The 13,497-nt window shown below is 49.1% G+C and overlaps 1 protein-coding gene across 9 annotated transcripts in view, besides 2 other annotated features; it reads right to left on the reverse strand.

The window, feature by feature from the left end:
- DIP2C (disco interacting protein 2 homolog C) overlaps window positions 1-13,497 on the reverse strand; it is a 415,468-nt gene that overhangs the window by 40,261 nt on the left and 361,710 nt on the right. For all 9 annotated transcript variants that reach the window (NM_014974.3, XM_005252427.5, XM_005252426.4 and 6 more), the window contains one exon: window positions 12,545-12,715. In NM_014974.3, the coding sequence (NP_055789.1) occupies window positions 12,545-12,715 (171 nt within the window). The remainder of the gene's footprint in view (window positions 1-12,544; window positions 12,716-13,497) is intronic.
- Window positions 86-585: an enhancer, noted in NCBI's record as "H3K4me1 hESC enhancer chr10:360487-360986 (GRCh37/hg19 assembly coordinates)". NCBI's record gives its function as "activates a minimal SCP1, AML or CMV promoter by ChIP-STARR-seq in naive H9 embryonic stem cells {active_cell/tissue: H9 hESC(naive)}" and the evidence as "EXISTENCE:reporter gene assay evidence [ECO:0000049][PMID:30033119]".
- Window positions 9,101-10,300: an enhancer, noted in NCBI's record as "P300/CBP strongly-dependent group 1 enhancer chr10:369502-370701 (GRCh37/hg19 assembly coordinates)". NCBI's record gives its function as "activates an origin of replication core promoter dependent on BRD2, BRD4, P300/CBP, MED14 and CDK7 cofactors, with strong dependence on P300/CBP, by STARR-seq in HCT116 cells {active_cell/tissue: HCT116}" and the evidence as "EXISTENCE:reporter gene assay evidence [ECO:0000049][PMID:35650434]".

Raw genomic sequence — 13,497 nt, forward strand, 5'->3', positions numbered from 1 at the left:
TCTTTCTAAACTCGGCACCAGCCAGGATTTCCTTAAAGAAGCCTGAGAGGGAGGTTGGCCCTCCCTGTGCTGCACCGGATCACCCAGCAGCTGGACGCCGTCCTTCCCATGGTCTGTGGCCAGTGCCTGCCTCTCCTGCACATGGGAAGGCATCAGGACGAGGCTGGGTCTGGCGATACGAGTCCCTCTGTGCTCGTCTGCTCCGCCTGCTGTGAAATACCTTAGACTAGGTAACGGCTACTCACAGCTCTGGAGTCTAGCAAGTCCCAGATTGAGGCACCTGCAGAGTGGATGAACATGTTCCTTTAGGCCTCTTTTATAAGGGTGGAAGTCCCATTCGTGAGGGCTCCACCCTCATGATCTAATCACCTTCTAAAGGCCTCATGTCTTATACTACTGCATTAGGGATTATAGTTCAACACAGAAGTTTTGGAGGGGGACACAGACATTCTGACCTCAGCAATCACATCATCCACAGTTCATTTACTTTTCACGTCCTTATTGGTGCGATTGCTGTTGGTTCTTTACTTGTCCCTTTCTTTGTTCCTCCCTTCCTGCCTCCTTTTCTCATGAATAGAATATTTGTGGTATTTCACTTTACCCTCTGTGTATTTTTTGAATGATTTATTGCATTCTATCTTCACACAGTGTTATGTGCTATGAAAATGAAGATTCTTGCAGCAGTGCATTTCCGGGGCCCAACTTCCTGTTGTCTCATCTGTTATTCCTACACATGCTACGAACACCTCAGCTGTTCATATTTTTAAACAGTTAATACTTTTAAAACAAACTAAAAATATTTACATGTCTACATATTGACAGATTCTAAAACGTTTTCTTGTATTTACTCTTTTCAGTATTCTTCATTTCTTCTTAAAAATTTGGGCTTCATTTTGCTATCATTTATTTTCATCCTTGAGACATTCTTACTATTTCTTGTGACACGTATTTGCTGAACGATTCTCTAGGTTGGCTAAGTATCTGCTTTTCTCTTCCATTCTGAAGGATCTCCTGCAGAAGAAACAGCTCTTTCAGCAGCCTGCATGCACCACTCCACTGTATTCTGGCTTCCAGCACTTCTGATGAGAACTCAGTGTTGTTTTTATTACTTCCCCCTACTTAGTTTTATTTCTGCAGGGACTTTAAGATTGACTCTGCCACTGACTTTCGGTGTTTGGACAACAAAGCATCTGGGTGTGATTCTTCTCATTTACTCTGCCTGGAGTTGACTGAGCTTCTTGAATCTTTGTGTTGATTCTTCCCTTCACTCCTGGCCATAGGTCTTCAAATTGTTCTCTTGCCCCATTTTCTCTCACCGCTCCTTCTGGGGCTCCGATCACTACAGGTATGTTAGACCCACGGGCCTCAGACACTCTGTTCCACTGTATTTTCATGCCTTTTCTCCTTGTTTTATGCTTAGGTCATTTCTATTGGTCAGACTTCAAGTTCATTCAATGAGTCTTTCCTCTGCTGTATCTAGTCTCCTATTAAACCATGGGAATTTTATTTCTAATACTAGTTTTCATTTCCAGCATTTCCATTTTGTTTTTTCTCATAGTTTTTATCTTTCTGCAATACCCCCCACCTCTTCATAGATGTTGTACACCTTTTCAACGAATTTCTGGCCTCACCTATCACAGCTATTTCGAAGTCTCTGATAATTGCAGCATGTCTCTTCTACTGACTCTTTCTAGGGCCATCTCCTCTCATGAACATGAGTCCATTTCTCTTGCTTCTTTGCAGGTCTTTTAAATTTTGATTATATAACACAATGTTTTATGAAAAACGAAGATTGTATTTAAAAGAACAGTAAAGATTAAATAACATTTACCCCCAGAAAAGAATTTACAAGCCTATGGGCAGGATCCGGATGCTGGGCCTGAACACTGACACTGGATGTCTTCTATGCTTCACGGCGAGAGATCTGCTTTCCAAACAGTAGGAGACCTTCCACCCACTTTAGGTAACTGGGTGATTCTCTCTTCAGTCTCACCCCCAGCTTCCTCTATTCCACTGCCACACTCCCAGCCTTTGGAAGGCAAATACGTTACACATGGTGAAGGGCAAGGGCGCTGCAGAGGGATGTGCTATGCCCTCATCCCACCTCCATTGTTGAAGTGTGAGTGGAGTTCCCACGGTGATTTGGGCTGCCCTGGAGGGTAGCCAGGGCTCTGCTGGGTGATCCAGGCCACCCTCGAGCGGGAGCCAGCGGCTTTCCTGCTCACCTCCCAGCCCTCAGGAGCCCCTGCCTTTTGCACACTAAAGGTTCAGAGTGCCTCAGAGAAAATGCATCCACTTTTAGGACTCCCCTGGGATTCTCATCTACCTTGCAAATAACATACTGCCATTTATGTTTTTTAAAAAGTTCAGAAACTTTTTGCTTTATCATTTTTTATGGTAAATTCTTTCTCCTGGCTCCTCTGCCATGGGAAAAACCACATACAGGTCTCTTTTCTCCTAGGAAGAAATGTAATTCATCTACATTTGAGTCTTCAGCTCTCTGATGGATCTTAGAAACGATGAGTCTGTGTATTAACCAGATTGTTCCGACGGTTATGGTTGGAACAAGAGTCTCTTGTGACTTCTACATCTCAATAAAAAATGGAATTCCAAAATATTTAAAAAATAAATTTGCAAAAATCACATTGAGCTTGTTTCTATGGTTGGCATCAAATGGATGGATCTGTATGTTGTCATCAGGCATTGATGCAGGTGACAAACTGTCAGGAAATGGGGGTTCTGGAATGGATTACTGGTGGGGTGGGGGCCACAGACAGTGTGAACTCAGCTCAGGCCGTCTACCAGCAAGCTGGTCATCAGGACCAGCCAAACACTGGCTTTCGTAAAGTTTGACTGAAGCACGGCAATGCCTGCTCATTTACATATTGCCTGTTTCTGCTTTGAGTGGCACAGCAGAGCTGAGTAGCTGTGCGGAAAGCACCATGAGGCTGGCAGCCTGGACGCCATGCTCTGACACTTTAGAGAGAGGGCGTGGGAAGGCTTTAGTTTAGGGGCTGCCAAGCCACAGAGCAGATGAAAGCACCCAGACGTGACACGGCACGGCTGTTTTTGTTGAACTTACTGAGTGAATGATGAACTCAGATTCTTGCTTTTTGGTTCAAGACATAGACTAAAAGCCAGGCATGTTCTGTGACTGCGATAGAGAATCCCTTGCTGAAAGCCAGGCGAACACTTGAAGCTGTGCAGTTACACCCCTCAGACCCTCATCATGATCTCCTGGGTCCCTAAGACTCTTCCAGCGGTGACTCCAACATTCCTGGAGACAGATGGAAAGACTCACTTAGCACCTTGCAGATCCAACATGATTATCTGTTCAGTGCAGTGTCCATCAGTGCCTAGGGCACGTGAGACATCCAAAAACACTGGTAGAATTCGAATGTTCCTCTTCTTTTCTCTCTCTTCATCCCTCAATTGTAAATTTTACAATTCCATCTGTAGATCACAGAATATCAGTGATGGAACCAGAGAAAGAGGAGGCATCGCCTAGGAAGTCGTGGGTTTGATGACGGTCATGGTAATTCCAGAGGCTTCGGCTTGTCTCCCCTTTGCATGAAGGGCAAGTGCCTGAGTAGACGTAAAAGCAGCAGCTGCATCACGGTGGCTTCCTGGGGCTATGGAGATGCGTAAGGGCAGGACGAGAACACAGTGATGCTGGATGGCGAAAGGGAGGGGTGGGAGCAGCCACCGCTGCCACACTTTGGTCACCATACATCTCAACCGTCCTCCTGTATCGGGAGAACTCCTCCACTTTTTGAGTCCTGTTTGAATACAGAGCCCTTGTGGCTCTGTAGGAAGTAAAAATACCAGAAGTCCCTTCCCAGCCTTCCTGGAAGCTAGGGTGTGGGGAGACGATCAACCAGTCACATCCATTTACAGCACAAACCAATCGGGCTCTTGCTGTCGGCAGTGAAGGTGTCCAGACACGATCCAGGTTTGGGGAATGCCATGCTGGTGGGGAAGTCTCGTGTCCAGGAACAAGGTCAGCAGTGCAGACTTCAAGGTGTGGTGTCCTCACAAGAACAAGCTGCTGCACAAGCGGTTCCCATAGGCAGGTTCCCAACGCTGGTCCTACTCCCTTGGTGGTTCTGAGAGCCACTCACTGGTGCCTCAAACTGCCAAAGGAGGTTTCCATTGCTTACAGGTCAGAAAGCTGGCTGACGTGCAGGATACCTGGAATATGGTTTCCATGATCCCCAGCGTGGCTGGGATGCCGTGTGTCAGCAGGAAAGGGCATAAAGTTCCTGCTGACGGTGGCTCATTCCCTGAGGCTTTCAAAATCCCCAACAGCACCTTATTTATTTCCTTCACCTAAAAGCAGTGTAGGGGGACAAGGAAACTGAGAGCTCAAGTTAATGAAAGTCTTATTATTACAACTATTTATTTTGAGAATTAAGATTTACATCATCTCCTGAGCCTTCCACATTTTTCTTTTTTTTTTTTATACAGAGTCTGGCTCTGTTTGCTCCGTCACCCAGACTAGAGTACAGTGGCACGATCTCGGCTCACTGCAACCTCCACCTCCCAAGTTCAGGCAATTCCCCTGCCTCAGCCTCCCGAGTAGCTGGGATTACAGATGCGTGCCAATGAACCGGGCTAATTTTTGAATTTTTAGTACAGACAGGGTCTTACTATGTTGGGCAAGCTGGTCTCGAACCCCTGACCTCAAATAATCCACCCGCCTCAGCCTCCTGAAGTGCTGGGATTACAGGCGTGAGCCACCGCGCCTGGCTCACTTCTTTCAACAATCCATGACTCCTTCTATTACTAGGGGGGCTGTATTTCTCTTTCATTGTGTGAGTTTCAAGATTTAAGGGTCACTGCAATAGTTACTGTTGATTTAATCCCACACAAAGCTACTTATAATAAAGCTGCCCTCTCAGATAAATCAGTTATTTTTCTATATAATAGAAATCCAAGTTTCTGTTTATGTTTTTTTCCTAATAAATAAACAACCGCGGTCTCTTTTGGAAAACAGAAGACCTCATGTTTTTCTTCCCTGCTTCTACTAGAAGGAGGATGCAATTTTTCTGTTACAGTGAACAATATCTCTAAATCTAATGCAACAAAAGACCTTCCAGCTTACATTTTTGAAGAGTAATTGTGGCTGTGAGAAATATATTTCCAAATAATAAGTGACACCTTCTAATAATACTAAGAGAAATTTATGTGAAAGCTAATTAAACACAGAAGTCATAATTTGATCTTTCTAATGTCCACTTTTATCATAAATTTAGTAAATTGAAATTCTTTTAAAGTCATTTTTCCAGCTAAAGGTACTGGGAAATGTTACTCCTAAGAGTAACAAATAGCTTTTACTTCTAAATTTTGTTCTGTTTTTACCTCCTAGCTTTGTCAATTAGGAAAGTTCACTTCTCAGGGCCTTCATCTCTCATCTTAAAACAACTAAGAATTCCCTTAAAGAGCATGGGAAGACCTAACTAGATGCTGTCTGAATCCAATGGTCCAATGCAATGACTAAAGAATGTATTTTTCCAGCGTGAATGACTCTTAAGGTGCAAGCCCCAGACTTCCTATTTGAGAGGAAAATGCTGTTAGAAGGTTGAAGAATAGTAAACCCTGGGTTTTCATTTGCAAGGAACAGTTACAGATGGCATATGAGCTTTTAGCTGGTGAAGATTCACACCAGGGGTTCATTTTGAGAAAATTCATCATGCCAAGTCATTTTCCACGGGAGACTAGACTCTAGTCAAGTAAGGATATGTTTAATTTCTCTAATGTGAATTGTATTTACACACACAGATTGGCACTTAAAAGAATCAACTTTGGCAGGCTGAGGTGGGAGGATCACGAGGTCAGGAGTTTGAGACCAGCCTGGCCAACATGGCAAAATCCTGTCCCTGCTAAATATACAAAAATTAGCTCGGCGAGGTGGCAGGTGCCTGTAATACCAGCTACTTGGGAGGCTGAGGCAGGAGAATCACTTGAACCCAGGAGGCAGAGGTTGCAGTGAGCCGAGATCATGCCATTACACTCCAGCCTGGATGACAAGAGCAAGACTCCGTCTCAAAAAAAAAAAAAAAAATCAAGTATCAGTACTTTGACAAAATGTATCCAACATCCAGAAGTGACTGTGATGATGTGAGATGGCACTGGACACTCAGGGAGGGAGATTCTTTCATAAAGCCATGCTCTTAGCTGAGTGTGGTGGCTCACGCCTGTAATCCCAGTGCTTTGGGAGGCTGAGGTGGGAGGGTCACTTGAGGCCAGGAGTTCAAGACCAGCCTAGGCAACATAGTGAGACCCTGTCTCTACAAACACTAACAACAACAAAGAAAAAACTGTGTTCTGTAAAACAGCTACTCACAGAGCAGAAGCGACATGGACATGGTGATAAATAATTAAAAAGCAGCTGGAAAGTGTGAAGGAGGAGGAACAAAGTACACTGGCAATTCAGAGGAAAGAGAGCACCGCAGCTGACAGAGTTCGAGAAGGCCCCATGGAGGGGACCCGGGCGGAGCAGGATGAGGGCAGAGGAGAGTCCATCCAGGCCGAGCACAGTGTCCGGGTTATGAAGCAGGAAAGACTGCATGAGAAAGTGGCTTAGGAACAACTGCACGAAGGGGAGGCAGACGCTTGGGGCTGGATGGTGGGAGGACCAGAGTGCCACTGATAGAGCCGATTTTTGCAAAGTAAAAACAAACACCCAATGTGTCTCTGTACACCTGTAATGTTTCCTGTGTCAGGTATGTTCTAAAAAGTGCTTGTCCAGGCGCCAAGTCAGCACTGGAAAAACTGCATGCGGCTTCGCCCTTGAGGATGCAGCACTGCTCAGGAGCACCGGTGAGGCCTTGAAATCCTGCAGTCATAACACTCATGAACTGTGCAGCTCAGCCTTCCCCGAAGACCAGGACCCCCTCTGACCGTGATGCCCTTGACACATCCTAAGCCCTGCTGCACACGGGTGAGGCTCCCTCTCTCTTTTGGACAATGTTCTTTGCTGAGTTTGCTCCCTATCTCCTGGAGATAAAACTCTTCCCTCTCTCCATCAGGCGTCCCCCACCAGAGTGCACAGTCAGGGAAGGCCTGCGGGGGCTCCAGCGAGAGACCGGCGCTGTTAGAACAGTCAGTCGGGGGTGCGGGGCTCCAGCGAGAGACCGGCGCTGTTAGAACAGTCAGTCGGGGGTGCGGGGCTCCGGCGAGAGACCGGCGCTGTTAGAACAGTCAGTCGGGGGTGCGGGGCTCCGGCGAGAGACCGGCGCTGTTAGAACAGTCAGTCGGGGGTGCGGGGCTCCGGCGAGAGACCGGCGCTGTTAGAACAGTCAGTCGGGGGTGCGGGGCTCCGGCGAGAGACCGGCGCTGTTAGAACAGTCAGTCGGGGGTGCGGGGCTCCGGCGAGAGACCGGCGCTGTTAGAACAGTCAGTCGGGGGTGCGGGGCTCCGGCGAGAGACCGGCGCTGTTAGAACAGTCCGTCGGGGGTGCGGGGCTCCGGCGAGAGACCGGCGCTGTTAGAACAGTCCGTCGGGGGTGCGGGGCTCCGGCGAGAGACCGGCGCTGTTAGAACAGTCCGTCGGGGGTGCGGGGCTCCGGCGAGAGACCGGCGCTGTTAGAACAGTCCGTCGGGGGTGCGGGGCTCCGGCGAGAGACCGGCGCTGTTAGAACAGTCCGTCGGGGGTGCGGGGCTCCGGCGAGAGACCGGCGCTGTTAGAACAGTCCGTCGGGGGTGCGGGGCTCCGGCGAGAGACCGGCGCTGTTAGAACAGTCCGTCGGGGGTGCGGGGCTCCGGCGAGAGACCGGCGCTGTTAGAACAGTCCGTCGGGGGTGCGGGGCTCCGGCGAGAGACCGGCGCTGTTAGAACAGTCCGTCGGGGGTGCGGGGCTCCGGCGAGAGACCGGCGCTGTTAGAACAGTCAGTCGGGGGTGCGGGGCTCCGGCGAGAGACCAGTGTTGTTAGAACAGTCAGTCGGGGGTGCGGGGCTCCGGCGAGAGACCGGCGCTGTTAGAACAGTCAGTCGGGGGTGCGGGGGTCCGGCGAGAGACCGGCGCTGTTAGAACAGTCAGTCGGGGGTGCGGGGCTCCGGCGAGAGACCAGTGTTGTTAGAACAGTCAGTCGGGGGTGCGGGGCTCCGGCGAGAGACCGGCGCTGTTAGAACAGTCCGTCGGGGGTGCGGGGCTCCGGCGAGAGACCGGCGCTGTTAGAACAGTCAGTCGGGGGTGCGGGGCTCCGGCGAGAGACCAGTGTTGTTAGAACAGTCAGTCGGGGGTGCGGGGCTCCAGCGAGAGACCGGCGCTGTTAGAACAGTCAGTCGGGGGTGCGGGGCTCCGGCGAGAGACCAGTGTTGTTAGAACAGTCAGTCGGGGGTGCGGGGCTCCGGCGAGAGACCGGCGCTGTTAGAACAGTCAGTCGGGGGTGCGGGGCTCCGGCGAGAGACCGGCGCTGTTAGAACAGTCAGTCGGGGGTGCGGGGCTCCGGCGAGAGACCAGTGTTGTTAGAACAGTCAGTCGGGGGTGCGGGGCTCCAGTGAGAGACCGGCGCTGTTAGAACAGTCAGTCGGGGGTGCGGGGCTCCGGCGAGAGACCAGTGTTGTTAGAACAGTCAGTCGGGGGTGCGGGGCTCCGGCGAGAGACCGGCGCTGTTAGAACAGTCAGTCGGGGGTGCGGGGCTCCGGCGAGAGACCGGCGCTGTTAGAACAGTCAGTCGGGGGTGCGGGGCTCCAGTGAGAGACCAGTGTTGTTAGAACAGTCAGTCGGGGGTGCGGGGGTCCGGCGAGAGACCGGCGTTGTTAGAACAGTCAGTCGGGGGTGCGGGGCTCCGGCGAGAGACCGGCGTTGTTAGAACAGTCAGTCGGGGGTGCGGGGCTCCAGCGAGAGACCGGCGCTGTTAGAACAGTCAGTCGGGGGTGCGGGGCTCCAGCGAGAGACCGGCGCTGTTAGAACAGTCAGTCGGGGGTGCGGGGCTCCGGCGAGAGACCGGCGCTGTTAGAACAGTCAGTCGGGGGTGCGGGGCTCCAGCGAGAGACCAGCGTTGTTAGAACGCAGTCAGTCTGAGAGCAGACACCCCCGTTTCCACACTCACTCACGATGCTGCTGCTTCAAACTGAAAGCTACATTTTTCAACATCTTTAAATATTTAGGTACAAGGTTTGGAATTCTGGCAGTGTCTTAATTTTTTGTGTTTTTGATTTTTTACATCAAATGATTAATTGTGATTATCTCAGGGTAGATGGGTTTATGACTGTTATTTATAAGCTAAAGTGTATTTTCTGATTTTGTTTTCTAAAATATTCTTTTATAAAGAAAAATAAATTCAATGTATAGAAAATTCAGAAACATTTCAGGCTTTCCTTATTAGGACTCATGAGCAGTGTGGTCCGTACATTTAATGTACCAGGCATGTCCTGTGTGCTGGGCTCTATGGAGAGCCAGGGAGCGAGAGGTGGTTTCTGCCGCTGGATCCTGGGCTTCTCCACTCTGCTTGTTTCTATCACCATCAGGTTTTTTTAATTTTGCAGATTCTAGAAAATGAGTGTTTCCAAAGACCAGCTCTGCCTGTAGCCTCTGCACTTACGGCTGCCTTCGCTGGACTCTCGCCCGCACGACTCCGCCCTTTCACTGTGCTCTGCTGAAGCGTTCCTGACTGCCCTCCCCCAGAACGCCTCCCCGTGTTCGTGGCACTCTATCCTCTCACTGCTCGCTTTTACTAAAATGAGTCACTTCCTGAAAAAATTATCTACATGCCTACCGTCCAACTCACTGACTGTGAGAAATGTTTGATGATGGCACAAACTTTGTCATAAGTTTCTTTGTAGTAAAATTTGACATAGGCTGACATGAGCCCCTTCAAGTCTGGGGCCCCCACCCTTCCTTGCTGCAGGAACACTGGCACATGTGATACTGAGCTGTGGCATCATGCATGGCATCTGTGCCACATCACCTCTCACAAAGCCAGAAACCTAATTCCGAAGCACACCTGCCCTCAAAGATTCTGGGAAGGGGAGGTGAGCTCGCATTGCTTTGTACATAAATTTAATTTCTCTCTGCTGGTAGACACTTGGATACTTCCAACTATTTTCCAATACTATGCAGACAAGGAAATGCTGACCGAAAGGAGTTAGGGATAGGTCAAGTAGAAAACTGAACATGGACAAAAATGCTTAAAGATGCTGCCAAGATTGCAAAATAACGCCATGACCCATGATTAGAATACTGAATTTTGATTTAGCGGTCATATTGACAGAATTGTCTTCTGCACAAGAACATATTGCCATTTCCTATTAAGAATACAGAACCGTGCTCAACACTCCCACGGCGCACATTCATTCAATATCCACCACGTGTCAGGCCCCGCCCTGGTGCCGAGGTAAGGACGGTGGCACGCTTCAGAAGCCTTGTGGAAAACACCAGCACGCCAACTCTGTTCTTCATTCTGTCCCTTTCCTGCGCTGTTTTTCTTTCATCTCCATGTTTTGGTTCTTTTTTCACGTATTTTATCTTCTCCTACTGAGCGTACTCCTTCCTTGTAAACCATCTTAAAACATTTTGGGGCTGGGCGTGGTGGCTCATGCCTGTAATCCCAGCACTTTAGGAGGCAAAGGAAGGCGGATCATGAGGTCAGGAGATCAAAACCATGCTGGCTAACACGGTGAAACCCCATCTCTACTAAAAATACAAAAAATTAGCTGCGCTTGGTGGCGAGCACCTGTAGTCCCAGATGCTGGGGAAGCTGAGGCAGGAGAATGGCGTGAACCCAGCAGGTGGAGCTTGCAGTGAGCCCAGATCACGGCAATGCACTCCAGCCTGGGCAACAGAGTGATACTCCATCTCAAAAACAAACAAACAAAAAAAAAACATTTTGGATCCAGGTGGATGGAAATAAATGAAAAAGTAAAGAGGAAAATAAATGTATGTACTCTACAAGAGGCCAATTTTACACCACACGCTGAACTCTGTCACCTGCTGGAGGGCACGATGCGACGGGTTACTCTCTGCTCTCTCCCTTCAGCGCCACCTTGACATTTTAAGAGACAAAGCCAGAAGCAGCAGCCTCGCCATGGCCAGTGCCATCTCTCACAAATCACTGATTTCCTCTTGCCCGGGGGTCCCTGTCACTGGTGGATGGAGACAAGTGAGACATCACACTATTGCTGAACTTAAGAAGCAGACTTCTGCATTTCCTATTTCTCCTAATGGGATAGATGGCGATAAACATTTATGAGGAACAGAAAAAGGTGAATAGGCAGAGAAAACTTCAATATTTTAAGAACTAGTTTGGTGAGATAAATCTAATTCTTCAGATGACCTCTTAGAAAAGGGTATTATTTTAATCATAGGACAAGGTTTAACTGACTCTTGAGAGAAATTTGGTAATTTATAATTTCTTAAAGATGGAGCTATTATAATAATTAAAAGAGAAGCAAGACAGAAGCAAGGAACACCACGTTTATGAAAATTAAAAAAAAGGCCGGGTGCAGTGGCTCACGTCTGTAATCCCAGCACTTTGGGAGGCCAGGGCAGACAGATTGTTAAGCTGAGGAGTTCAAGACCAGCCTGGGCGACATGGTGAAACCCCGTCTCCACAAAAAATTTAAAAATTAGCCAGGCGTGGTGGTGTGCACCTGTAGTCCCAGCCACGTGGGAGGCTGAGGTGGGAGGGTTGCTTGAGCCTGGGAGCGGGGGGCAGGGGGTTGAGGCTGCAGTGAGCCATGACGCCACTGCACTCCAGCCTGGGTGACAGAGTGATACCCTGTCTCAAAAAAGTAAAAGAAAAATCAAGAAAAGCTTTTTGCAGCTACTTTTTCTGAAGTGATCTCGGGAAGAGAGGAGGTTCCCTCCTCTGACCTAGTGGCTAACTCCAAGCACCTAGACAGGCGTGAAAAGGGCAGAGGGAGCCTTCGGAGGCTCACCCAGCAGCAACCTTAAGCAATCACTCTGGGATCACAAGTAGGATAGGGGGTGGGGAGAGGGAGGTGGAGGGATGCACACCAACCGTTTGCCTCACCAGCACCTGCTGAGAGGGAAGCCCTTATTCTTCCAGGAAGGAAATCCGCAGCTCTGCCTGCAGCTTGTCAGCCACTGTTAATGCAAGGCTGTCTTGCTAGAGCTGCTTCACTTACGCCTGTTTCCCAGAAGTGCGGCTTTGCGGTTTCTAAAATGCCATTGCAGCAGCAAATCCCAGAACCTGCTCAATGTCATTAAGTTCTTCCTACAGCGATCGTCTACACGCGTGGGACTAAGTACTTCGAGGGACTGGTTTCTTCATCTGTCTAGTATCTAATCTTTAAAAAGTCGAACAGCAGAGGTCTGGACAAACTGCTACCCCTGTCACAAAAGTTAAAATGTTCCAGGACAGAGTAAGTCCTATGAATGCTTGTTATGAATAATGGATACGAACGTAGACTGTAGTTTAAAGAAACAGAGATCTGCACCAACCGCATGCGTGTGACTGAAAGATCTCTTCTGGATGTAGCTAAGCATCAGCCGAGGGAGACGAGTGGAGCCAGTCTGTGCTGTACCCACCCCGGGAGCCACACTTCCCACTCAGCACTGTGATGTCGCCGAATCTCACCTGCAAGCAAATCGCCAGGTTCACCCTGCAACCGAACGAGGTGCTGACGGCCCGCGGGTGAAGGCCCAGGTCCTTAAACAGCTTTGAGAACGACTGTGTGAGTGCGATCCGAGGCCTCTCTTCCGCCACAACCACGCAGGTCCTCACTCGGGACAAGTCCAGCCCTCGCGCCTGGAGATGATGACAGAGAAACCGAGTCAGCCCCCACGTGTCGAGCTTGGAGTGAGCCAGAGACTCCTTCCCACAGATCCCCACGTAAACATTGGAAAACTCAACACAGCTATGCATTTCCAGGGCCACCTGTGTCCACTTCTTCAATATAACAAACCAGGAGTTGGTGAAAAAACATTCACACAACTATTCAAATGATTAAGAATGGAATTACAAACACGTCTCAAACAACCACCTGGAGCCACAGCAAGAACTGTTATGAGGAAAAAGGTTGAGGAAAAGCAACTTCCTGGCTGAGACGATGAAAGGCCGTTCGGGAAAAGAGAGCCATCTGATACATTCTTCTGGGCATGGATGTACCAGAACACACACTGGAGAGGAACGGGAAAAATCTACATGTAAAAGAGATGGGATCTTGCTATGCTGCCCAGGCTGGAGTTGAACTCCTCGGCTCAAGTGACCCTCCCACCTTGTGGTCTCCCAAGTAGCTGGGACTGCAGACATGTACCACCACACCCAGCCTGAAAACCTACATTTTAATATATAGGAATATAAAACTAAAATTTTTGGATGACTTCATAGACAGTGCTCCATTTATGTCCCATTACGCCAAGAATTTCTTCTCATTCTCAAGCGTGTCTGTTTCCACAGTAAGCAAAAGATTAACAACATCTCAGTTTCCACACCAAATTCAGTCAGCCGAGCACAACAGAAAAAGTCATACAGGAATTCAAGGAGTTAAGCTCAGCTCACTCTGTGGCACTACCTGGGCCGAGCAGAGG

This window comes from Homo sapiens, chromosome 10 (assembly GCF_000001405.40).
Source record: "Homo sapiens chromosome 10, GRCh38.p14 Primary Assembly".
Taxonomy (NCBI): Eukaryota; Metazoa; Chordata; class Mammalia; order Primates; family Hominidae; genus Homo; species Homo sapiens.